General features: G+C 35.7%; 1 long non-coding RNA gene across 5 annotated transcripts in view; it reads right to left on the bottom strand.

The window, feature by feature from the left end:
* LOC105375161 (uncharacterized) overlaps positions 1-21,452 on the bottom strand; it is a 37,849-nt gene extending 16,397 nt beyond the window's left edge. For 2 of the 5 annotated variants that reach the window (XR_007060216.1, XR_007060213.1), the window contains exons 1-3: positions 12,869-21,452; positions 5,452-5,563; positions 2,590-2,662 (exon numbers count right to left, since the gene is read on the bottom strand). This is a non-coding gene — a long non-coding RNA (uncharacterized LOC105375161). Of the gene's footprint in view, positions 1-19; positions 1,399-2,589; positions 2,663-5,451; positions 5,564-12,868 lie in introns of those variants that run through there. The other 3 variants (XR_007060214.1, XR_007060215.1, XR_927049.4) reach the window with 3 other exon arrangements.
* Positions 21,453-26,857: the final 5,405 nt, after the last annotated feature.

The following is a 26,857-nucleotide window of genomic DNA, read 5'->3' as shown; positions in this document are numbered from 1 at the left end:
AGAACAGATATACAAAATACGAACCTCATTTTTTTTTTATTTAAGTTTTAGGGTACATGTGCACATTGTGCAGGTTAGTTACATATGTATACATGTGCCATGCTGGTGCGCTGCACCCACTAACTCGTCATCTAGCATTAGGTATATCTCCCGATGCTATCCCTCCCCCCTCCCCCACCCCACAACAGTCCCCAGAGTGTGATATTCCCCTTCCTGTGTCCATGTGATCTCATTGTTCAATTCCCACCTATGAGTGAGAATATGCGGTGTTTCCTCATTTTTTATCATCAGATTCAACAAACACAAAATTGCATTTTTATAAATGCAATCAGAAAATAACAGGAAAAGAGAGAAGAGTCTCAAAAAACTGTACATGTTGCTCATTGAAGGTATGCGTGGAGGTGATTAAAATTTCTGTGCTTACCTCATTGCAGACCAATAAAAAATGGGACATGGATCACACTTTTAGAGACTTTTGCTTTAGGAATTAGTTTACATACTACTAATGATATTAACTTTGTCTCCAAACTTGTTAAGGGTAAGAAGGCAAGAAAATTAGTATCAACAACTGGGATTTGGATACTATGTAGAAAGATGTGAAACTAAGGAAAAAAAAGAAAAAGAAAATTCTAAGATTTTTGCTTATATAGCTCCCTTATTATCAAGTAATATTAAATTTATTTTTTAAATAAAAATGGCTTTGATGCCATTTTTCCTGTCATACAACCCTCCCAGGCTAAAGGGCATTAATTACATTGACAAACTTGTGTTGGCAGCAAAAACCAATGGGTTTGACTTTTATCATTTTCTAGAACATTACGTTATAGTAGCCATTTTGTATCGCCTAATATTTCTCAGTGTACAGCAACATTCTGCATCCTGAGAAACTTAACATGGAAAAAGAGTGATTTAAATATTTAAGTAATATTTGCTTTTAATATTTTGAATAATAGGAAACAGGAAAGAGATTTTCAAATGAGCAGATAAATAGATGTATGGATGGCAAAGAAAGTTAACAATTAATTAAATTTATATATAAATAGTAATAGAAATGAAAACATTAAATTTACAGTAGCAGTAACATGCATTAATTCGAAACTATTCTATTTTTCCTTACTCATTCATTACTTTACATGTTAACTCAACTCATCTTTATCGAGCATCTAATATAAGCCTACAATTGTGTTGGGAGCTATGATTATTAAAGAGATGAACCCCTACGTGAAAAGTGCTCATAATATAAGGAAGAGTGGAAAAAAACATATAAGTGATTGCAATCTGATGGAATAACCATGAAGAAGCAGTGTCTGTAATAGAAGTTGTTTCAGGAAAGGTTCTTGAACACTTCCATACACTCTTCTAAAGACTAGGCAGATATTATCATGGAAGTCTGAGGCTCTGCAATATAAAATGATCAACATATGTATTTAAGGCTCTTGCACAATTTCTCAAGGTCGTATCATTTTCGCCAGCCAGCATTCTTAGACTGGGCCCATACCAATTTTCACTTTCCTTCTTTTTCTACTGGGACATTAGAATTCAGTAATAACCAACTAGTTACAATCAACTAGTAATAAATATAATGATAATGTTCATAAAAATAACTGTGATTTATTGATTGTCTATTATGGGCCAGTCACTTCACAATTTTTATTTAATCCATTCAAAACAGAGATATTATATCCATTTTAGAGATGAGGAAAGTAAGGTAATCGGCCTAAGATTATACAGCAGTTCTCTGGCAAGGTGAGAAGTCAAACCTAGACAATTCTGCTGCAGCATTCTTCAGCGTAATTCTATAGACTTCCTCCTCCCTGAGGCCCAAATCCTTTGATTGGTGCCTACCTACATTCCAACCCTTTGCCGCAATAGAACAATATAAACTTATAACTTTCTTTTTTCTTGGTGTTGTCTGGTTTCTCCACAAAGACTCAGTCTAGTACATTATGTTGTAGAACAGATGAGCTAGGCTTCTCTAGATCTGAGAGATTATTTTTGAAAGTTGCAACTCATTCAAACCTATTTTTGAAAGAAGGCAAAACCTAAATCTTGAATATAACCATTTTACTTACTTTTGTAATCATTAAGAGAACATAACAAATAAAACTGATGTTTTCTCATTGTTCTTCCACAAAACATTGAAGAAAAATGCTTAAAAAACTTTAGTTAAGCCCTAGTTTGCCTGATATATTTGTATGAACACTTGTATTCTCAATGTTGTGTCTGGCAAGCATTGGGCATTTTAAATTAATGAATTTCCTGACCACTTAGGGAGAAGATTTAAAACAAAGTTTACTCTCAAGATGTAACTTGAGACTGAGTTATACCACTGTTTTATTATTCCTAATGGCACTGAGTCAATCCACAGATATTTCATCCTGCAATTTTCTACTGTTTTGAAAATGCATAATATTAATCATTGTAATACTTTATAAACTGACCATAAACCAATGTTTATAGTCAGTTAATCATTGTATTACTTTGCTTTAGGTAATTTAGTACATTACCATAATGTAGCAATCTACTTAATACAAATTTTAAAGTGAACACAATGAAGTTGTATAGCATTAATATATTATGCATACTAACCTGAAATTTTGAAATACGACCGATGTTTGGACAGAGTTCAGATGTTCTATGACTTTGGTTTCCTCTAGCTTTGCTGAGAAAAGAGTAAAGACTTAATGAAGGTCATCAGTAAACTATTATTCTACTTCTAACTATGCATCCCTTTCTCAACCTGCTTTAGGCCACCATTTAGGAATCTACAACTACTTATTGTTAAAATACTAATAACTCCAATTAAGGGAAGCCTACTCCAAGTTTTAAAAATATCAGTAAGTTTGGGAGTAGGTGACAATAATGTCAATAAAGTGAGATAGTGCTTCTCTTTTAAATGACTTCAAGGAATTTTTTATAAGCACTCTTAAAATTAACACAATCATTTCAAGAGAGTGAAATTGGACGTCATCTTTGTTTTGAGAACTAACATTTATTGAGTGGCTACTATGTCTCAGGAACCGTGCTAAGTACTCTTTTTTTCATTATCACCTTTAATCCTCATTATAGGCCTGAGATAAAGATTGCATTTTTGGGACATAAAACTTGGAAATCTTTGATTAATGCCAAGCTGTGGTATTAGTTGGGATTTTTAGAAGTGAGTAAAGACATCTGTATAAATGTAGACCTTTCCTCCACTGTTCATATGATATAAAGAATATGAATCCTATAGACATATTAATGCCTCTCAACTGTGAAAATCTCAGCATAGGTATTTAATGGTGTTCGCACTGATAGGAGTAGATGGTAGATTCAAGGAATGAACAAAGTATTCACATGAATTAGAGAATGGCTGCATATATGAAGCCGTCTTGTCACCTCCAATGTTGATGAAAATCAGTCAAGTAGTTTCTAGACATCAGATGAAGAAATAGACTCACTTCAATGACATTTGCAAAAGAAAATGTTGGTGTGTATAAGAAAAAGAAGGAGGGGCTTCTTCTCTGGTCGCTGCAGTTATTGTGGTTCACTTGCATTTAAAAAATATTTTCACTGTTTTCAAGTGGTTAAGTTCTCTCAAGATTATTATTGCTGAAGAGAGACACTTAGAATTTTAATCATTGTTCTATCAGGTGAACAATCTTTTAATTTTTTTTTTTTTTTTGAGACAGAGTCTCACTCCATCGCCCAGGCTGGAGTGCAGTGGCGCAATCTCGGTTCACTGCAACCTCTGCATCCTGGGTTCAAGCAATTCTCATGCCTCAGCCTCCTGAGTAGCTGGGACTACAGGCACATGCCATCATGGCAGCTACTTTTTTTTTGAGATGGACTCTTGCTCTGTCACCCAGGCTGGAGTGCAGTGGTGTGATCTTGGCTTACTGCAACCTCTGCCTCTTGGGTTCAAACAATTCTCCTGCCTCAGCCTCGTGAGTAGCTGGGATTACAGGCACGTGCCACCACACCAAGCATATTTTTGTATTTTTAGTAGAGACAGGGTTTCACCATATTGGGCCGGCCGGTCTTGAACTCCTGACCTTGTGATCCACCGCCCCCATCCTTCGCCTCCCAAAGTGTTGGGATTACAGGTGTGAGCCACCATGCCCGGCCTACTTTTTGTATTTTTAGTAGAGCCTGGTTTTCACCATGGTGGCCAAGCTGGCCTCAGACCCCTGACGTCAAGTAATCCGCAGGCCTCGACCTCCCAAAGTGCTGGGATTATAGGCATGAGGAGCCACCATGCCTGGCCTCTTTTAACATTTTTAAAGCAGAATCTGTGCCCTGTATCTTTTTAAAAAATTTTCTTCATCAGTCCCTATCAGAATGTGTTGAACACTGGAGAAGTGGAACACGTTAATTTAATTAAATGATTGGAAAAATGTGTTTCCTTTGGTGTGTTTTCATTTTCTATTATAAAATAAAAGTTTCTGTAATGAATGTACTTGTTCTTAGAGAAAATAAACAGAACAGGTAGAAACTGCTTGAGCACTAAGAAAAGAAACATAGTGAGGAAGCAAATCCAGTGCTTCCTAAACTTGCTGCACACTAGACTCACCAGGAAGTCTTTAAAAAATTTCAAAGTCAAGACCGTAATGCAGATAATGGAATGATTTTCTAGCCGGTGGGTGGGTAGTAAGTCAAAGGTGTCAGTATTTGTTGAAGTTCCCCCATGATTGCAACAAGCAGGCAAGTTAGGAACCCAATGAGCTATTTTATCATATGTAATGGGCATCACTTTTAAACTTGGCTTTATTCTGTTTAAAATAAATCCTTCTTAGATTAAATATTTTTATGTAATAGTTTTGTTCAAATATATACATAACAATGATTGAGTAGAGATTATATAATACACTGTGTATCTTATGCATAAATGTTATAGGTCTAGGTTCTGAGACTTAAATTTCTCTCACTATACGTTAGGGGAAAGAAGACAAAAACAGACTATTTGCAGAAACATATCTTAGTTTAAATGATAAGGTTACTGGAAAAAATACAGAGTTAACAATAGAATATTTAATGTGTTTTCAATAATGGCAATACTCTGTTAGACTTCAGCACTAATGTTTTCCAACTATTAGTTTTGATTGTGAACTATTAGTTTTCATTCTATTTTTCAAAAGAAGCTTATTGAGAATACCCAGAAAAAGCAAAATTGGTAAACAAGGAATCAAACTATTTTTTTCTCTTTGCTATATGTTTCATTCCAGTGTTTTGGTTAACAAAAGTATATGCTGAGTTAATACAATCACACAAATATTAATAATATAATATGATAATACAAATATTAATAATAATATTTATAATCACCAATACACTGGCCATTTATTGAGCATCTATTTTAGGTTCCTTTTATGAATTATTGCCAATCTTGAAATTGACTGTATTAGTCCATTTTTACGCTACTGATAAATGCATACCAGAGACCAGGAAGAAAAAGAGGTTTAATGAACTTACAGTTCCACATAACTGGGGAGGCCTCACAATCATGGTAGAAGACAAGGAGGAGCAAGTCACATCTTACACGGATGGCAGCAGGCAAAAAAAGGGCTTGTGCAGGGAAACTACCCTGTATAAAACCATCAGATCTCATGAGACTTATTCACTATCATGAGAACAGCATGGGAAAGACCTGCCCCCATTACTTAATTACCTCCCACCGGGTCCCTCCCACAACACGTGAAAATTCAAGATGAGATTTGGGTGGGGACACAGTCAAGCTATATCATTGACCTTGATATTCACCCCTTGTATTGAAAAGAAAATGGCCATCCAGAGCAACTGGCTTACACAGCACATAAGTGGCAAAGCTGGGATACCAAGCTAGAGGGCTTCACCTCAAAAGCGTATGATTTTTGGCTTAATGAATCCTGTGTCTCTAGTCACAATAGCTAAATTTGTTCTGCTTTCATCCACATTTACACTTTCCTTACAATATGTGTACCACTTTATTTTCTTAGTAGACCAGGAAGATAGAGTTCTAGGAGGCATTACTTCTGGCCCAAATGAGATCATATCAAAATCAAGAAAATCAGGAAGAGGGGTGTGTGTGTGTGTGTGAGAGAGAGAGAGAGAGGAAGAGAGAGAGAGATTCCTTAAGTGTGCAAATTTTGAGTCCAGTTTTACACATAGAAGGGTGAGATACAAACAAACATTGCATGCCAGTGGGGATTAAAACTGTAGAGCTTTTGGAAATTGGCTCCTCCCTGTGTTTGCCAAAACCAGTCTGGTGCTTTGTGTCACACTTCCCTGCCATATGCAGGCAGGCTGGCTCTTTTCCTAGGGAAACTGTTTATTTTAAAACCCACCCGAAAGATACTATTCGGTAACAGTGGTTATCTCTGTTTTCTACCATAGGAGAACCTAATATTTTGTAATTGTACAGTCTAATGGCTTCCTGTGTTCAAGTGACAAAAATCCAACTCAAACTAGCTCAAGGCAAAACAACCACAGCAAAAACAAAACCCAGCAAACAAGTTTACTGGAAGAATTCCTGGGTAGCTCAAACACTGAAGGAAGTTCTGAAGAAATAACACTGCTTTAGAGCTCTTAGCTAGATCAAGTGAAAGTCTCGAGGCTTTTTATTTTCTGTTAGTTCTCGTTTCTTGTAGCCATGTGCATTCATCTCATTCCTTTCTGTTCCCCAAGTACTGAGGAGTGCATGTGGAGGGTTCTGGCAAGAGGCCCAGGGGTTGAGTGAAGCTTCATGCCTATATCATTTCAACTTGGAGATCTGAAGGAAGGAGCTCTCACCACCCTTCTTCCCAGAAGGGTAAAGAATACCAGGGAATGCCTTTGCTTGTTCTGGCTTAGGTCCCCTGCTCTCTCCTGGACATGTCACAGTGGCCAGGCCTGCACTACATGCCCAATCCCCAGAGTTTCGCGATTGGCATTCCCTCCAGAGTTGAAGCAGAAGAAAGCCAACCCTGAGTGGAAGGGAAAGAGTTTGCTCCAGAAGAGAAGGAAGAAAGAGTGCCTAATGAACTAAACACTCAGTGACAATTACAATGATATTTCATTTCTCCTTATTACTTTACCTCCCATGGAACCTGATAGATAAGTAACAGATTTGGCTTATAAGGCTGGTGCTTTCCCTTCCAATTCAAAGCTGATTGAGGACGTAATTATGTTGTTGAACAGACAAACTACAAGTGATTAGAGTGTCTAGTGGCCATTTTAGTTTTGAATGGTAGATAAACGTACAGAAATTGGAGTTAGAATTGGGGTAAAGCCAAGGCCACTCACTTGTATTGATGTTTCATAACTTCTCTGAGCCGCATATGCTTCAGAAAATAAATGGGAGAATAATGGTACCCATTGGGTAGTATTTTACATAGATTCAACAAAATCATTTTATTTTATTTTATTACAGAAGGGGTTTCATTATGTTGCACAGGTTGACCTCAAACTCCTGGACTCAAGTGTTCCACCCACTTTAGCCTCTGGATTTGCTGGGAATACAGGTGCTTACCACTATCCCCAGCCTAAAGAGATTATTTATAAAAGCTTGTAATCAAAAACCTGCCATAGAGTAAATATTCAGTGTGTGTTAAATAGCAATAAAAGCAGTTAACAGAACCTAACAACAACAACAAAAAGAATTCTACAGTTTAATCATGAGGTAGAGATTAGAGTGAAATGGTCAGTTTTAATATACTCACAACAGACCACATTTTATATGTGTGTATTATAGATACACACATATATACATACATTCAATATACTAGTTTAGAAGGTGAGCAGCTTATTTTAAGTCATGTGAACAAGGTATGTAGAACTTCAACAATTGCTATTAATGTCAGTTCTGTTTTGATGTTTCACATATCACTGGCCAGAACTTGAACTTTTATAGTTAAGGTTTTGCATTTAAGTCTTTCCTTTTAAAATTATCTTCCATATCCATGTATATTTATGGAATCCTGGACCTTGTTCCCAAAGCTTCCCCTTTATGCAGAATATTCTATAAAAATCACTTGCTTTATTTTAAAAAGTATAAAAACTCACATATTATAAAACTTTCAAGGACATATTTGTATTTTTCTCAACTCCTTGCATGATTTAAATTACTTCTTGGTAAATACATGAACAATATGGAAAGAAGAGTCCATTTGATATTTGTAAAAAATGAATGGAATGTACCGTGAAAACAGTATATTTTAAAAGTTTCATGCGCAGAATTTATTTGACTAAGCCTATGAGAGTATTGAATTAGTGCCTTTGTAAAAAATAATTCTACTGGGGAAAAAAAGAAGATCTTACCAAATTTTAAAATTAGACAGCACTTTATTTTATAATAAAACATTATTTAATTTTTAAGAAAAATTATAATTGTTGACCACCAGATGGCTCCCATATTTTTAAAAATTCAGCAGAAAGAGTGGAAACTGTTCAAAATAAACAGATTTCAAAGAAACAAAGGTAAAGAAAATGATATAACCTGTGAAAGTTTTAACCACCTATAAAAATAATTTAAGTAACATAATTTTTAGAAATTTCTTTCTCTTAAAAAAAAATCCATTATTTGTGAACAGCAGGCACAATATACCCTTCGAATTTATGCCAATCTTTGAAACTACTATTTTTCTGTGTAAACTACTACCCCATAGGTGCTATTATTCTCCCCATTTGTTTGCCTCCTCTTTAAGTATCATTCCACCAGACATATAACAATAATGTCACATTACAAATCAAGGTTCTCCATAAAAGCAAAATAATTTTGACCTGTGTCAGCAATGGAGCCAATTCACGATGTGGGATGCATTATGCATCACAGCTCAGCTACGATGTTGCTGGTGTCATGGACAAAGTTCTAAAGGATGTGTTTTACTCATCTTAATATGTAAGCTATTAAGATAATAGACCCTGCACTTGTCACTCTGACAGCTTTTTTTAAAGGCTAAGCTGCCCAATTTGTCTTTCATTAAAAGCTCTAGTACTGTTTAGTGATATGCAGTCACTGAGCCATTGAGCTTTCAGAGTGTACGATTCTATTTTGAGAAAAATTTTGTCAATAAAAAAGGCATATGTTTCAATGAGTCATCTTAACAGAGCAAACTCATAAGAACGGGTTGACCTGCACTTCCACCCCGCTACTGAGTTTTCCCTACCTTTTCTTGTTAGCACAAAGCTTGCCCTGGTACCTCGTGCCACAGGGAAACCAGAAATATGGAGACAAGGTCTCCTTAGCCCATATGGTTTTATTTGCGTTCTGCTGGCACAGTTATAGTCATACAGTAACCAACATAAATTTTTAGTTTTATTATCACCTCTAAAAAGAGACAGAAATGTGAAAATTGAAGCCAGAAGGTTTGTATCACAGGATTAATTAGGCAGGGCCAAGTGGAGTCTCACTCCTCCTGGCAGCGAGCGCCTCAAGAAGGTGCCTGCCTTCAATTACGGAGCACACAAAGCAATTAAAAACCCTGTTTCTTTTTCCTGAGGTGTTACTTGTTACTTGATAAATCTCTTTTTTAAAATTCTCTGGGGATCTGAATTGGCTAGAGGTGCAATCTACCGGGGTAGATATTCATGAAAAATTGATTTAGCTCTAGCCTAAGTGCAATAGGTTTAAAATAAACCTGAAAGGAATGAACAGTGTGTTTCTTGGCTGACATTTTATTGGCCATTTTTTTTTAATGCACAAAAGACTAGATAATTAAGAATTGAGACATTATGGATCTCCACTAGGAGATATGAATCGAATTGGTCAGCCGTCCCAGGCATTTTATCCTAAGTCACAGTGCACATTTGATTAACCTTTCTTATGGGGTTATTTGTACATTCTATGGACAACACTGTGGTGTGCATAAGTCAGATTAAGTGCATGCCTCCCAGAACCCACATTCCCTTTCTAATAGAGAATTGGCTTGGCATGAAATTATATCTTTTTACCTGATTTACGGCCTAACCCAGAGGGATTTGAAACTTGGATCTATTGTTTTATTTCTCCAAAAGGAACTTTTCTTGCTTTTCACTGTTATTTTTGAGAATTACATTATTATCTTAACTCTGGAATGATTTATAAATATTCAGGAGTAAGTTTCAATTGTCTTCTGTACAGCTAGTTTTGTGGACTGGGATTTTACCAGTAGTACGTAAATCACCTAGCTAACCCTTTCCTCTGAAACATAAATAATTTAAAATATGCAATGTGTACAGTGTATAACTGGTACAAAGAATAGTGCTCTATCCAGACATATGAGCTTAAGCTTTATCTGTGATCTCATGCTTCCTGTTGAAAAGAGAAGCAAAAAAATTTTTTTTAATCGATAGACAAAAGACCATCATTGTAAATAGAGGAATGAGACTCTACTTTCACTTAAAAAGTATATTAGGTACAATTTAATACAATAATAAAGACAGCAAAAGATTTTAGTGTATGTTATTTTCTGTGGTGTGTATTTCTAAATTAAAAATATTAATTTATTTCAGAAAATTAATTATGATAAAAATAATATTTTATCCTCTCCTTACTTTCTTTTTTCATGGTATTCTTTCTTTTTCTTAAGTTTAAACATAATGTAAAGGTTAAACAAATTGTTTTAAAAGGAAAATTTAATAAATGCCAAATAGGAAAAAATTTTAAATGGTGATTATATTTAATCAGAAAAATTTTGCAATGTTTTAGTGAAGATAATTTTGATAAAATATAACCTTGGAAATCTAGATTCTAGTTATTAGAATTTTAATTTAAATTTTATTGAACTTTTTGCTTATGGATGATTATTTATCTATCTTTTTCCATTTCTTAAGAAAAGCATGTTATTTTTTCAGGCTTCTGGCAATGTATTTTTACTCTGTTGTGCTGTGATAATGGGCCTAAATGTCTACGGGAAGAAAATGCTAGAATGGCATTATGTTAAGAAAGGGGAATAGGTGCCAGAAAATAATGCTTATGTTCTTGTATGTTTACTTTAAGTCTGGATTAAAAGTTTCAGCAATAGGTACCTAAATGAAAATATGATACATTTTGCCATAGGTCTTACTAAAATTGATTAATTTGTCTTTTAGTTAAAACAGTGTGAAGAATTCAGTCAGTGACATGGTAATTATTTTTATTGAGATAGTGGCTTTGGGTTGGCCTTTGGGAGCTAGGATAATTGTGGGTTTAAAGTTCTTTTATGATATTAACATTTTCTCTTCTCCTTTCAGCTCTCTACTATGTATATTCCTTTCTTTAAAGTTCCCCAATATGGTTTATTGAGTCCCCAGATGTCCTTGTGATTCCCTTCCCCTGGTATCCAAACCTTTGTATAATCCCATGCCCTTGGGTGGAGATGGGATTTGTGACTATAACAAGTGTTACACCAGTGGTTAGATTATAAGACAAAGGTGATGGGATTTTGCAGATGCAATTAAGTTTCCTAATCAGTTGACTTAATTAAAATAAAGGTTATTCTAGATAGGCCTATTCTAATCAGGTGAGCCCTTTAAAAGGGGATCTACAGGTCAGAAACTTAAAGTCACAGAGATTCTCTCTCTGGGCTTGCAGAAGCAAGCCCTGTGAGTCCTACAGCAACAAGGAAATGAATTGTGCCAACAACCAGTTGAGCTTGGAAGAGAATCTTCCAAGCTGCAGACCTCACTGATTTCATGATTTCAGCCTTTTACCATGAGCAGTAAACCCAGATAAGCTAAGCCATTGCCTGGACTCCTGACCCTGGAAAACTCTGATATAATAAAATTTACTGCATGGCAACAGATAATTAATATACCCAATGATACTATTCATGTCCTCGACATCTAGTTCCCAAGTTTTACTCAGGGTATTAATATCACGGTATGTCAATTAATGTTGCGGATCACACTGGGCAAATGAGGAAATTTGTGACTTTCTGTAACTAGTTAAATCAGTTTCTCAAAGACTTTTCTAATATGCATGGTGAACCTCTAAAAAGGATCAATACAGGCAGTATGTCCTGCACTTCTTAAAACTTTGAACCATTTTTCTCCCATGTGGCTACTTCAGAAAATCGTGTTCCATGGAATCTACTTTAGGAAAGAAAATTTTGTGTCGATTCATCATACTAGTTTAAAAATCATTACCCTGTCTCTCTAAATGAGAAATCTGATACTAGAGCTGATTAAAGAAATTAATTCAGGTTAAGATTTTAATAGCTGTTGGTAGAACAGTGTGCTAAACATTTTGGAATATTTTTACTTTAATATAACATTAAAGTAACAGGACTTTGACCAGAAGAAATTAATCTCCAATAATGGAGATTTTAATAAATTTCAAAAAAATTATTTTATTGTAAAAGTGTCACAATTCAAAAATACAACTTGAATTAAAGTTCTGTACTCTGATTTCTTCCTTGCTAAAGCCCCATGTGCGTTAACATTTGGATTCCTAAAGTAGGTGTCTGACTGTGAGAAAACACGTAGGTCATCCATGTTGTTCCCAAGATTCCATAGTGTTTTCTCTTTTTTTTTTTTTTTTTTGAGAGGGAGTCTGGCTCTGTCGCCCAGGCTGGAGTGCAGTGGCGGGATCTCGGCTCACTGCAAGCTCCGCCTCCCGGGTTCACGCCATTCTCCTGCCTCAGCCTCTCGACTAGCTGGGACTACAGGCGCCCGCCACCACGCCCGGCTAATTTTTGTATTTTTCTTTTTTTTAAATGGAGACGGGGTTTCACCGTGTTAGCCAGGATGGTCTCGATTTCCTGACCTCGTGATCCGCCCGCCTCGGCCTCCCAAAGTGCTGGGATTACAGGTGTGAGCCACCGCGCCCGCCCTGTGTTTTCTCTTAATGAAAAGGATGGAGAATGAAAGATGTTGCCAGAGAAGATTTTCCTTCTCTTTAGCAGCAGGGCTATTCTTTAAGTCTGGCTGCCTCTTACCTGATAAAGTTCCCAGTGAGTCCATTTGCTTCCCTTACCTCTTAAATTTGCGGGTTCCCACTGCGCCGTTTGAGATCATTGCCCTGAAATCAATGTGAAGAATTTCAACAACCTTTTCTGCTTTTTTTCTGCCTCTGGAGACTAAAAGATAAGTCTGAAAGGTTGCAAAAACAGAATTAATGGAAATGAGTATCAATTAACAAAATTTAACTGAATTAATTTAAATATACATCTTTTACTTTAATCTCCATTATTAATGTCCTTCAGCCTAGTATTTAAACTATCATTATAATATTATTAGGCTCATTGATAGAAATCTGGAGTCAGTTTGTTGATAAGTACCTCTACATCTTATCTGGGATTTACATAAGAAAAGTAATTGCTTAAAACACTGGAAATTTTTTTGTAAACTCAGAATCTTGGAGAGTTTATCCCTATTTTAAAGCATTTTTAAATTTCAAATTTATCTAAACGATTAAGTTGTACAAAGATTCCAGTGCCTTAGACACTTCCTTTTCACTTACATTCTTAATGGTGTGGTATTATTTTCAGATACAGCAATAATAATTCTCTTCATCCCTGAAAACCATAATGGATTAGAAAATACATTTCTTCCTACATACTGATGCTATGATGTTATCGTTATAAACCAGAGGGTGCTCTGTAAATAAAGGAAAATAAATTGGACTTTATGGTAACTCCAACTCAGGATTTCTAAAATCTGGCACCATTGACACTTTATGCCAATAATTTTTTGTTGTAGGGGGCTGGCCTAGGTATAAGAGGATGTTTCGCAGCATCCCTGTTCTCTACCCACTAGACACCGGTAGCACCCCCTCCTTCATTTGTGACAAACAAAAATGTCTTTAGATACTGCCAAATGTGCCTTGGAAAATAAAATCTCTCCCCAGTTGAGTTTAATTGATCTAATTTTACAGTCTTTACAATTTGTAGATTGATTGGCTTTCTTTTAATTTGGGGAAATTTTGATTAAGATTTTGAAAAATTTTATTGTTATTAGTGATTTGGTGCTAAGTTGGCCAGTAGCACAAGTAGCATTGCAATTGTGTTTTTATTTGTTGGTTTTAATCCATGTTAACAGTTAGTATACAAAACTAAAATCTTTTAGCACTTAGTGAAAAGTGTTCAAATATTGCTATCTGGCACATATTTTTTGATGCATCTATTTAAACTTTGAAAGCATTTGCACTTATTGTGAAAGTATTGAGGATGATTAGGGAGTTTGGTAACTGGTAGGAGTTGAGCCAACACAGACATTCTGTATTGTGGAAACTCATTGCCCTTTATAGAAACTTCCTGATTCTCTCTGCTTTGGCTAGAAATCAATGAATGGACATTTGATAGCTAGAAATAATTACTTTGTCAGTGTTCCCTTTTGCTTACTTTTCTTTAACTGCAGCAGGTGGAATTGAACAAGTGTTGCTTATGCATTTTGAAAAAAATCTGCTCTGGCTTGTGCTTTAGCCTCATAAGATTATTTTACAAACAAATTATTTTACATGTTCTTGTTAACTGGTCCTAGAATCTTACTCCATTCTTCATGGCTTCCTGAAAATTCAAAGTTCAAAGTTCTGAAAGTAGGAAAAGAATAGGATGAAAATTCCCAGCTTTGCTAATTTTTGAAAGGACTAAGTTCAATAATGGAGACAATGCGTCACCAAAAAAAATTCAGAACAAGTGGAATTAGGAACTCAGAGTAGAGGAGGGCTACAGAAAAAAAAAAAAATTGGCCAGTGGCCTAACTCACCTAAGTTGGAGCATACTGATTTCCTCAAATGCAAGACTGCCAGGAACAAGGAAGGATGCATCTCCTTTTTTGAAGGTTTCTGTAGGAAAACTGCCTTCACTCTGAAGAATGGTGTAACAAAACTTTCACTTCACATCCTCTGGGTAATTTTTCCAAGGTCCCGCCCCACAGTACCAGGGCATCTGGATCAGGATGGCTTCTGCATCAAACTACATAGTGTGCACAGGAAGCTATTCTCTCTAATCATCCTGTCCTGTGTTGATCCCAAATCACTAGTCTAGAATCTTTCCCTGCCTTGTTTGCCTTTTTGGTGCTATTTTTCTTTGCTATTCCATGATCTTTCATCAAACATGCTTCCATATCTTTGAAACACTCAGAGACAGAACCAGGTACAAGCCATTCTGCTCCCAGGAAGCTGTTATGCATGTGTGTAAATTCATTGATGAGCAGACACATTTGGGAAGGGCATTATCTGATATCACCACAATCTTACAGAGCCCTCGGAAGCTTGTCAAGCAAACATTTTTGTATACTCTCATATCAGCAAGTAGATATTTCCTAATTCTTAATATTACTCAAGCAATACTTCCAAAAATAAGTCATGTTCTACCCAAAAGGTAAATACCATTGTTCACCTTAGAAGAAACTGCCTAAAAATTTAAAATACAGATTTTTTTGAGCTATAAAACCTTAAGATTAAATTTTTATTATAGACTCGATTACATGATTTAAACAAGGCCATTTTGATATGTCAGGAAATAAATTCCTTTGAATCCATGATTATTCAGCTCAGTTTTACAAATTCTGCTTGACAGCAAGTGTTATTTTGAGGTTATTGTGTGTTTGAACACTAGCCATAGTGCCTAAATGGATGTTCTTTGGTTTGAGGATCCTTTCTGGAAAGAGTTAAATATTACTCATATTTTTCTCTTACCATAACTTTTATATTTCTTTCCTTCTCACCATCATTTAATGATAATTTTAATGTTTCAAGATTTCTGTCTCTTATTCCTTCTCCCCACCACACACACACACACACACACATACACACACAGAGTGAGAATGAGAGACAGAAAGAGATATTGAGCTTCTTCATGCCAACTTTCCTGGCTCTTCAAAAGAACCTATACTCTCTGTTCCTCTCTACTCATTCCCTGTCATTCTTCAGCTACCTCTCTAATTCCAGTCTGGCTTCCTCCCTAACAGTTTGAAATTCTATTTTTGCTAAGGCCACCTTTATCTTCTATGTCATTTAATAGAACAAGTAACTATGACCTATATCTCATTTGATCTCTCATTGGCACTCACCTGTGTGGTCTCTCTCTTCCATTGGCTCACAGGTCACTGACTGTCTGGATTTCTTTTTACTTTGATGAACATATTTCACAGATTCTGTAGCTGTCATCTTTTTCTCTGTCTGGCAATTTTGGAATTCCTAGGATTCTATTCTAAGCCTTTGCTATGGTTTGAATGTTTGTCTCCACTGAAACTCATGTTGACATTTAATTGCCATTGTAAAAGTATTAAGATGTGGGGCCTTTAAGAGGTAATCAAATCATAGGCAGCACCCTTATGAATAGATTAAGGTCCTATCATCAGAGTTGGTAGTTATCTCAAGAGCAAGTTGTAATAAAGCCAGCTCAGCACCTTGTACAATCCCTTTTGCATGTGCTCACTTGTCCTTCCACTCTTCTGCCATGAGATTACACAGCAAGAAGGCCTCACCAGATGCTGGCACCATATGCTTGGACTTATCAGCCTCTAGAACTGTAAGAAATAAATACATTTATTTTCTTTATAAATTACTCAGTTTATGGAATTCAGGTAACAGAAAACAGACTAAGATAGCCTTTTTTCTTTCATGTCACATATTGATTGTCTTAACCATCTCATGGCTTCATTAACCTCTATACACAGCTGACTCCTATTTTAATTATCTATTATTTTATAACAAACCACTCCAAAAGTTACTGGCTTAACTATTTCATTATTTCACGCTATTTTTAGTGTTGACTGGACTAAATGGGGTTGCTTGTTTCTTATAAATTGGATTTGGCTGCATCATCTATGGGCTCAATTGTGCTGGGACAGCCAAGATTTCCCATTTACCTGGCAGCATTTGATGCTGGTTATTGGCAAAGAGTTCGCTTGAGACTGTCAATTGGATCATCAACATGTGTCCTATACATGTGGCTTGGGTTTCTCACAGTATGATGGGTGAGTTCCAAGAATTGTTCCAAGAATGAGAAACCTTAGAGGGGGACCTGGATGCTGCAATCCTCTTAAAAAGTGTGTCTGTAACTGGTATATCATCACTTCCACCACATTCTATTTAAGCTGTCACAGGGCCAACCCAGATTCAAGAGGGAATGAAAATAAATGCCACATGTTGATGGAAAGAGTAATAAAACGTGTTTGGTCATTTTTAGCCCACAACAGTGATCCCTCAGTCATAAATTATTTAAATTCATTCTACATGCAAAATACCCTGACCATTCCCCATGACCCTCAAAGTCTCAATTTGTGACTGAATTAGGTTCAATGTTCAGCATTCCATTATCTAAATCAGATCCAGGTGTGAATAAGGCACCTCAGGCTACTCTTGAGATGAAGAGCTATGAACTAGAAAACAAGTTATCTGGCCCCCACAAACTCAGTATGTAATAGTGAGACAAGGACAATAGAATTTGATAGACACGCATTCCAAAAGTACAGTGGCAAATAGCAGCCACTGGTTCATAAACATCCTGAAATTTAGGTGAGCAGATGTGGGTTCCTTGGTTAGGGTTTCCTCCAGCTTTCTTGGGTTGATTCTCTCTGCCTCTTAGCTTTTTCCTCTGGGCTTCTGGCTCTTCCATATGTCTCTCTTTTCCCTAAGAAACAGCCCACATGTGTAGCTGAGTGACTTTCTCAGGCTGTGTTCTTTTTGTTGAAAATTGAGTGTCTCAAAGATCTCTTAATTTTTGAACTGTCACTGTTTTTCTTTGTTTGTTTAGTACAAATTGGTACACTTCCTATAGATACTTTGTGGTTTTCCTGAGTATAAAAATATAAGCCATTTTCCTGGACAAAAGCGACACCAAAGTTTCTTTATAAAAGGCCTTTCCCTACTTTGAACAGAGAGTTATAGAAGCCTCATTGTCTAGAAGAAAGTTTCAAAGAGGCACACCTGAGTTTTTTACAAATGTCAAATCCTTCTGAGTTTTTAACAAAAAGTTCTTATAGCCACATATCTGAGATCTTGACTTTGAAACTGCACATTTACTGACAGTGCCTTGGATTTGATCTTTGTCCTAAAGTAATTTCTTACTTTGAGAGACTTTTGTTGAGGGAGACTGGGAATAAGAAAAATTCCCAACAAGTCTTGGTTAAGAAATACTCCCTCTAGATCCTGTTTGAAAGCTATTTTTTTAAGTTCCTCTCTCTACATATACCTTATTTTATTCAGGAAAAACAGTTGGCACTTTCACTATTCTGCTGCTCAATAAAATAAAAAAAATTTTCATTTGCTTTATTTTCTGTTTTTTGTGTCCACAAAAAACATAAGCCCTCTTCCTCCTTTCCAGCATCAAAAACATTTTTCTCCCTATCATTCCATTTTTCACTAGCAGTCTGCTTTGGACTACCTTCTATCTGCTTTCTAGGTCCAAAGCCAATGCCAAATGTTTTAGCTTTTTGTTGTTTCAGCACCTCACTAATTTCTGTTTTGGTTATTATTGCTGTGTATTACTGCAAAATTCATGGCCTAAAACAACAACCATTTCATTATCTCTCATGGTTCTGTGGATTGACTAGGTTCAGCTGGGTGGTTCTTCTGCTCAATTGCACTGGAACATCTAAATGGTTCACTCAAATGGCTGATACTTGATGCTGCCTATTCGCTGGGACAGCTGGGGCTGTCATCTAAAAGTGAACATCCATTTAGCCTCTGGGTTCTGGAGGAAAGTGTCCCAAGTGTGAGCATTTCAAGAGAGAAGCAGCAGTGCTTTTAAAGGCTGGGCCTAGAACTACCACAACATCACTTTTACATCACTGTATTGATTAAACCATCATAGGGCCAGCTAACATTCAAGGAGGAAGATAAATAAACTCCATTTCTTGATTTTTTAGAGTGACAATTTATGGCTATCTTTAATCTGTCACAACTTGCAAATGTCTATAACAAAATATTTCTCTTGAGCTCCAGACTGGTATACTCTACTGCCTGCTTGACATATATTCCTGGATGCTTCATAGGCGTGAGGGCTGACTTCATGGCATGTGACATGTGCAGTCGCACAGGACCTCACGTTTTGGGGATCACACACTTGGTTTAATGATCTGCTATTGCAGTCTTAAAATTCATAATAATTTTTGTATAAGGAGCTCTGATTTTTATCTTCTACTGGCCCTCTTAGGTAGCCAATCCTGACTGCTATCTTTAAGGCAACCTCTTCTTTCTTCAGTGTTCCTTATCTAATTAAATAGGAATAAATATCCTCAATATAAAATTCAAGACCAAATTTGACTTCTTAACTTTTGCTTGCAAAGCACTTAGAGCACTCTTGGTTATTGCATTTATCACACATAGAATTACTTGTTAAAAATTTGTCATTTCTAGAAAATAGATTTATCATCTCATGAGGCAAAGGACCTCTTTACTCTATTCATGTCATATTTGCAGCATTTATAAAGAACCTGGCAATATAAAAATCTTGGTATGTTTTGAATGAATGTAGAAACAAATAAATTAATTAAAAATGTGTCAGATTTTAAGTAAGGGAGATTACCCTTGAGATAAAAACACAAGTCACATAGATTGTATAACTGAAATAAGTTTGTGGTGTTTTCAGAAATAATGATAAGGGCAGTATCTATCAGATTTTATGACACAGCAGCACTGGTGGCTCTGAGGGAAACCAGCTTATTTCATAAAGATGTGGGATATAGTTATGATACTATTAATTTTTTCTTTTTTTGAGACGGAGTCTCGCTCTGTCATCCAGGCTGGAGTGCAGTGGCACGATCTTGGCTCACTGCAAGCTCCACCTCCCAGGTTCATGCCATTCTTCCACCTCAGCCTCCCGAGTAGCTGGGACTACAGGCGCCCACCACCACGCCCAGTTATTTTTTTGTATTTTTAGTAGAGAGGGGGTTTCACCGTGTTAGCCAGGACGGTCTCGATCTCCTGACCTCGTGGTCCGCCTGCCTCGGCCTCCCAAAGTGCTGGGATTACAGGCGTGAGCCACCGCGCCCAGCCGATACTTTTTGTTTCATGTCTTGATGCCAGAAAATACTAAGTCAGGAAACAGTGATTTGAGGCAAGCATCATAAATGCAGGAGGATATTCAGTGGTTCATGGATGGAGCCAGATTCATGGAAAACATGATGCCAACATGTTAACAAATTAATTACCAACTCATGGAGAAAAGGAGACTGAGAAACAAGTTTGATAAACTCATTTGTATTATTACAGTGATAATTATAAAAAACAATAGAGGCCTTCATAAAAGAAAAGGTTGGGTGACTGAAAAACCTAGAAGCAAGACAAAGGAAAATTGAACTAATGTGAAGTAATAATGCATGAAAGGCAAGAAAGAAAACTGATTTCTAACAGAACGTATCATAATATGAAAGGGCTAGATAGGCATTTAGACTTTGAGGACTGTACTTTTTATTAAAAGGCTGATTTCTCAGAGCTCTGTTACATGCAGGCAATAGGTGGATGCTTTTCCAACTTCTTTTTTCATTGTGCCTGAAAAGGGTGGTAGGTTATGGTATGCTAAAGCTTTATAAGCCCATATGTCATTTGACTCTCTTTAAGATTGTTTTTGATCAGAAATTCCATCATTACCATTAGAATAAAAAATAAAGTTCGGTTTATGTCTTTTAATTCTTCAACTTTCATTCTTTAGTTTATCATAAACCACGTAATCTTGAAAAAACCTCCTTCACTTTGCGCATTTTTCTATCCTCAGTTTTGATTTCCTGATGTTAAATATACTGAGTCGTGGTCAGCTTTGCTTCCTCCTTCCCTCCCTTCCCCCTTCCTTCCCTTCCCCCTTCCTTCCCTTCCCCCTTCCCTCCCTCCCTCCCTCTGTCTCAACCTTCTTTCTGTCTCTCTCTCTCTATTTCTATCCTCTTTCTCTCTCTTTTACTTTCTTTCTTTCTTCCTTTGGATACATGCTACCTTCTTCTGTACATAACATGAGTTTTGTTCTGTCCCATTCTTTAGAAGTTTTCCTGATGATAAGTAGGGCTCTGGTAAGGCTCATGTGGAAACATCTGATTGACTAATTTAATTAAGTAAAATAAATAAATGGCCTAAGTTAAAGTTCTGTATGGTAGGACACTTAAAAGAGAATAAGACTGTTCACATTGGGACATCTTCATCTCTCCAAGATTTTCCAGAGGACAGAGTTCCTAATGCTGTGTTGCTTTTTGGAATTCACTAAAGATGGTCCATACTTTCTAAATATTTGATGCTTCCCATTTTAGCTTTCTTTCTCTCCCTTGTGTCCATATGTAGGATATCAGTGAAATACTTCAGCATGATCCTCGAAAAAATAATTTTAAAAAGAATATTTTATTATGATTGGTGTATGACTGAAAAAAGTATATTCATAACTAGTGTTTACATCTGATTGTAAGGAGATAAACGTCCCAATGCTTTCCATATTCAAACTTAATTTCGTAGCTTCAAATTTCTAAATTTGATTTAAATTTAGAAATGCAAACTTCTAAAATTATGTGAATTTATGTAGATATGCAAGGAATAGGCAACTAGCATAATATAAATAAACATGGACTGCATACTGTAGTTTCTTTATTTGTCAAAGAAAAGCAGTTTATTATTTTTTTAACTTTTAGGTTCGGGGTGCATGTGCAGGTTTGTTATATCGGTAAACTCGTGTCATAGGTGTTTGTTGTACAGATTATTTCATTACCCAGGTACTAAGCCTAGTACCCAATAGTTATTTTTTCTGATGCTCTGCCTCCTCCCTTCCTCCACCCTCAGGTAGGCCCAGTGTCTGTTGTTCTCCTCTTTGTGTCCATGTATTCTCATCATTGAGCTACCACTTATAAGTGAGAACATGTGGCATTCACTTTTCTATTTCTGTGTTAGTTTGCTAAGGATAATGGCCTTCAGCTCTATCCATGTTCCTGTAATGGACATAACCTCATTCCTTTTTATGGCTACATAGTATTCCATGGTGTATATGTATCATATTTCCTTTATCCAGTCTAACATTGTTGGGCATTTAGGTTGATTCCATGTCTCTGCTATTGTGAACCATGCTGTAATGAACCTAAGTGTGCATGTGTCTTTATGATAGCACAATCTATATTCCTTTGGGTATATGTCCAGTAATGGTAGTTCTGTTTTCAGGTCTTTGTGGAATCACCACACTGCTTTCCACAATGGTTGAATTAATTTACACTCCCACCAACAGTGTATAAGTGTTCCCTGTTTCTCCACAACTTTGCCAATATCTGCTGTTTTTTGACTTTTTAATAACAGTCATTCTGACTGGTGTTAGATGGTATTGTGGTTTTGATTTGCATTTCTCTAATGATCAGTGATATGGACCTTTTTATTACATGCTTGTTGGCAGTGTGCCTGTCTTCTTTTGAAAAGTGTCTGTTTATTTCTTTTGCCCACTTTTTAATGGAGTTGTTTTTCTTCTTCTAAATTTGTTTTAGTTCGTTATGGATTCTGGTTATTAGACCTTTGTCAGATGCATAGTTTGCAAATATTTTCTCCCATTCTGTAGGTTGTCTGTTTACTCTGATGGTAGTTTATTTTACTGTGTAGAAGCTCTTTAGATTCATTTGCCAATTTTTGCTTTTGTTGCAACTGCTTTTGGTGTCTTTGTCATGTAATCTTTGCCAGTTCCTATGTCCAGAATGGTATTGCCTAGGTTGTCTTCCAGGGTTTTTATAGTTTTGGGTTTTACATTTAAGTGCTTAATCCATCTTGAGTTGATTTTTGTAGATGGTAGAAGGAAGGGGTCCAATTTCAATCTTCTGCATATGGCTAGCCAGTTATCCCAGCACCATTTATTGAATAGGAAGTCCTTCCCTATTGCTTGTTTTTGTCAGTTTTGTTAAAGATCAGATGACTGTAGATATGCAGCCTTATTTCTGAGCTCTCTATTCTATTCCATTGGTCTATGTGTCTATTTCTGTACTAGTACCATGTTTTGGTTATTGTAGCCCTATAGTATAGTTTGAAGTTGGATAGTGTGATGCTTTCTGCTTTGTTCTTTTTGCTTAGGATTGTGTGGGCTATTTGTGCTATTTTTTTATTCCACATGAATTTTAAAATAGTTTTTTCTAGTACTGTAAAGAATGTCACTTGTAGTTTGATAGGAATAACACTGAATCTATAAATTGCTTTGGGCAGTATGGCAATTTTAACAATATTGATTCTTTCTATCCATGAGCATGGGATGATTTTTCATTTGTTTGTTTCACCTCTGATTTCTTTGAGCAGTGTTTTGTAATTCTCATTGTAGAGATTTTTACTTTCCTGGTTAGCTGTATTCCGTAATATTTTATTCTTTTAATGGCAATTGTGAATGAGTTTGCATTCCTGATTTGGCTCTTGGCTTGGCTGTTGTTTCTGTATAGGAATGCTAGTGATTTTTGTAGATTAATTTTGCATCTTAAAACTTTGTTGAAGTTGTTTATCAGTTAAATAAGCTTCTGGACTAAAACTTTGTTGAAGTTGCTTATCAGTTAAATAAGCTTCTGGGCTAAGACTATGGGGTTTTCTAGATATGGAATCATATTGTCTGCAAACAGGGATAGTTTGACTTCCTCTCTTCCTGTTTGGATGCCCTTAATTTCTTTCTCTTGCCTGACTGCCCTGTCGAGGCCTTCTAATACTATGTTGAAAATGAGGGTTAGAGAGGGCATGCTTGTCTTGTGCCAGTTTTCCAGCTTTTGTCTATTAAGTATAATGTTGGCTGTGGGTGTGTCATAGATAGCTCTTATTATTTTGAGGTATGTTCCTTCAATATCTAGTTTGTTGAGAGTTTTTAACATGAAGGATGTTGAATTTTAATAAAAGCCTTTTCAACATCTGTTGAGATAATCATGTGCTTCTTGTCTTTAGTTCTGTTTATGTGATGAATCACATTTATTGATTTACGTATGTTGAACCAACCTTGCATCCCAGGGATAAAGCCTACTTGATTGTGGTAGATAAGTTTTTCTGTTCTGCTGGATTCGGTTTGCTAGTATTTTGTTGAGAATTTTTGCATCAATGTTCGTCAAGGACATTGGCCTGAAGTTTTCTTTTGTGTGTGTGTGTTTCTGCAGGTATGGTAACTGGATGATGCTGGCCTCGTATAATGAGTTATGGAAGAATCACTCTACCTCAATTCTTAACACATAGTTTCAGTAGAAATGGTAACCGCTCTTCTTTGTACATCTGGTGAAATTCAGCTGTGAATCTGTTTCAGGGCTTTTTTTTTTTTTTTTTTTTTTTGTGGGTAGGCTACTTATTACTGATTCAGTTTTGGAGCTCATTATTGGTCTGTTCAGGTATTCAATTTCTTCCTGGTTCAGTCTTAGAAGAAAAGCAGTTTCATATGGAATTTGATACATGATACAACTCAAATAATAATTTCACTCTGTAGCACTTTATGAACTCTTCAGGTGTCTAAAATAAATTATCCTAGAGACACAGTCTAGCTTACTTAAATATGCAGAAACATATTGGAGTATCTTGTGGAGGAAACTATTTTGGAAGATCATTTTAATCACAAAGATACTGTCCAGTTATTTACTATTTACTTGGCAAACACGGAAAGGTTGGACAAAGGCAATCTGTCTTAAACTGCAGTAACCTAGTGACACCAGATTCCCTGTTTAGAAGAAAATAGAAAAGGGCATAGAATTAAAATAGTCTATTTTCTATGGGTGGGATCTCAGAGAATACATTAACACATTTTATATGGAAGTTTCACATTAAAGTTACCCTTCCCCAGTCTACCATCCTCCAGTAGAAAATCAATAGGCAAAGCTTAAAGTATCTTATCATTTCCTGAAATATGAAGCATATTTTAAGATTTCTTCAAATCAGTTTTCATGAAAAGATCTAATTAAATAAAATGATTTGCTATTTTTCCAATTGCTAGACCAATTATTAATTTAAACTAGAGCTATATTTTTATGACAATTACCATAGAATAAGATGGATAAATGATATTTTTATCTACTATTTGATCAAAATTCAATGTGCAAAATGTTAACAAAATAACCTTTAGAAATATGACATTCCTAATCACATTCCATAGCACTGAGATTCCAAATTACTTTAATCAACTAAGCAACATCAAAGTGAAAGTAACAGATTAAATGGAAATTAGAGTGCTTTAATGTAAAGATCTTTTGAAGTTACAAATAAACGGACCTATGAGAAAGGAAAAGAGGCAAAGTAAGAGAGAAAATAAGCTGCTGCCATACCTAATTTCAGGGAATAAAAAATTACCTACTAGAGTAATCTCAAATATTTTAATTTATGGTAAGACTTGAACTATATGAAAAGTAGCATATAATTTCTCTGATCTCTAATATTCTTTCTATATGTAACAGTTAATTTTAGGCTTTTCTTTAAAAACTCTAAACACCTCCAGCTGGTTTTGTAACTGGTCAGTAATTTGGTTAGCAACAGTGACGCTGAAGCTGTCTCCTGTTGGATATAATCATGAACATCTCTTCCACACGTTGTATGCAGTATAAAGGTCATCATGGGAATATTTTCACCATGGATATAAGCAAAAGCTATAAATAAGGCTTCTCTGCCACCCCAGAGAGCCAAGTATAATACATTTACCATCATTAGAACTGACTAGCAGGTACAATAGATGCATACTCTGTCACTGACAGTAAAATATAGTATCTTCGTTATGCTTAGAATCTTTCAAAGTAAATTCTAATGAAATTTATAGCAAGATATTGGTAGAACCTTCTCACTCAATGATGGCTGGAGAAAACCAAACAAAACAAGGCCACTACTCAAGCAATGGAGAGAAAAATTTTCTAGACTTTAAAAATATTTTGTCAAAAATTTTCTTAGGCACCTGTACGTTTCTTTCCTTCTGCATGCAAACAATGCCATGTTTTAAAGTTTCTAAAGAGAAATTATAAGTTTGTTAATTGTTTCATATTACAGAATTAAGATTTAAGGCTGGCTGATAACCTTAAATACAGTAGCAATAGGGATGTCATTTCCAACAACAACATTGGCTATATAATGGAAATAAAGGTCTAACATAGGTGATCTGTGAAAACTATATAGTTCTGAAACTATGTATGCTTTGTTCAGGAAAAAAAGCTTTGAAATTTTCTTAAGCGTAGTAAATTTTGTTTATTGATAGCAGTATTTTTTTAGTTAGTTCTATGACTACGTGGATCCTTGGAGCTACGTGCGGTGTGTTTGGATGCTTTTCGGCATTCATTTCCTCATGTGTGGTATGTGTTTGTGTTTGTATTTGTGTGTATGGTTTGGTTAGAAGTTTTTCCTGTAGGAGAAGCCTGCTATAACTCATGGATCGTAATGTTAGAAGTTCTGTGTTCATGCTTAATTGAAGAATGTGCTAATGCACTCATACCAAAGAGCCAGAATTAAATTTTCCATAGAAAATGGCATACTCCTGTGTGGTAGTTAAATCTTTCCTGTTGATTTATGAGTATAAACCCATGACTTTGACATTATAATGTTTCGAAGTTACTTATTGTATAGTTTTGTCTAATTTTAAAACTAATAGTAATTTTAAAAACTACTGACCTATATAGTCACAAGTTTTCAGGTAAGGGGAAAGCATCATTCAGAATTCTGAAACATAAAATCATTTGTGGAAGTGCAAATTGGTAGACAATTATATATAAATAACTGCAAATGTATGCATGGCATAGAAATGCATTCTTAGAAAATATCGGTGATTGACATAATCATTTGTGCATAAAATGTTTTTAAACACATTGTGAGACAAGTAAAAGAAATAAGGAGATAAGCTAAACATTGAAAAATGGAAATCAGTTAAGTTTTAAAATTTGTATGGTGGAAAATTATAGAGGCAAGTTTTAAAAATGGAGGTAATGTAAAGATGGCTTTAGAATGTAGACTCTGAAGATAAGCATAGGTTTGAACTCCAACTTCATCATCTTTTGACTTTGACCTTCAGCAAGTCAATTCAAAGCTTTAGATCCCTGAAGTATAAAAGATCGTTTAGATGAGTAAGAACAAAATATGTGTGTGTGTATATAT

This window comes from Homo sapiens, chromosome 7 (genome assembly GCF_000001405.40).
Source record: "Homo sapiens chromosome 7, GRCh38.p14 Primary Assembly".
NCBI classification, from domain to species: Eukaryota; Metazoa; Chordata; class Mammalia; order Primates; family Hominidae; genus Homo; species Homo sapiens.
Note: the sequence above shows the minus strand (reverse complement) of the source record. Positions and strands in the feature narration are given on the sequence as shown.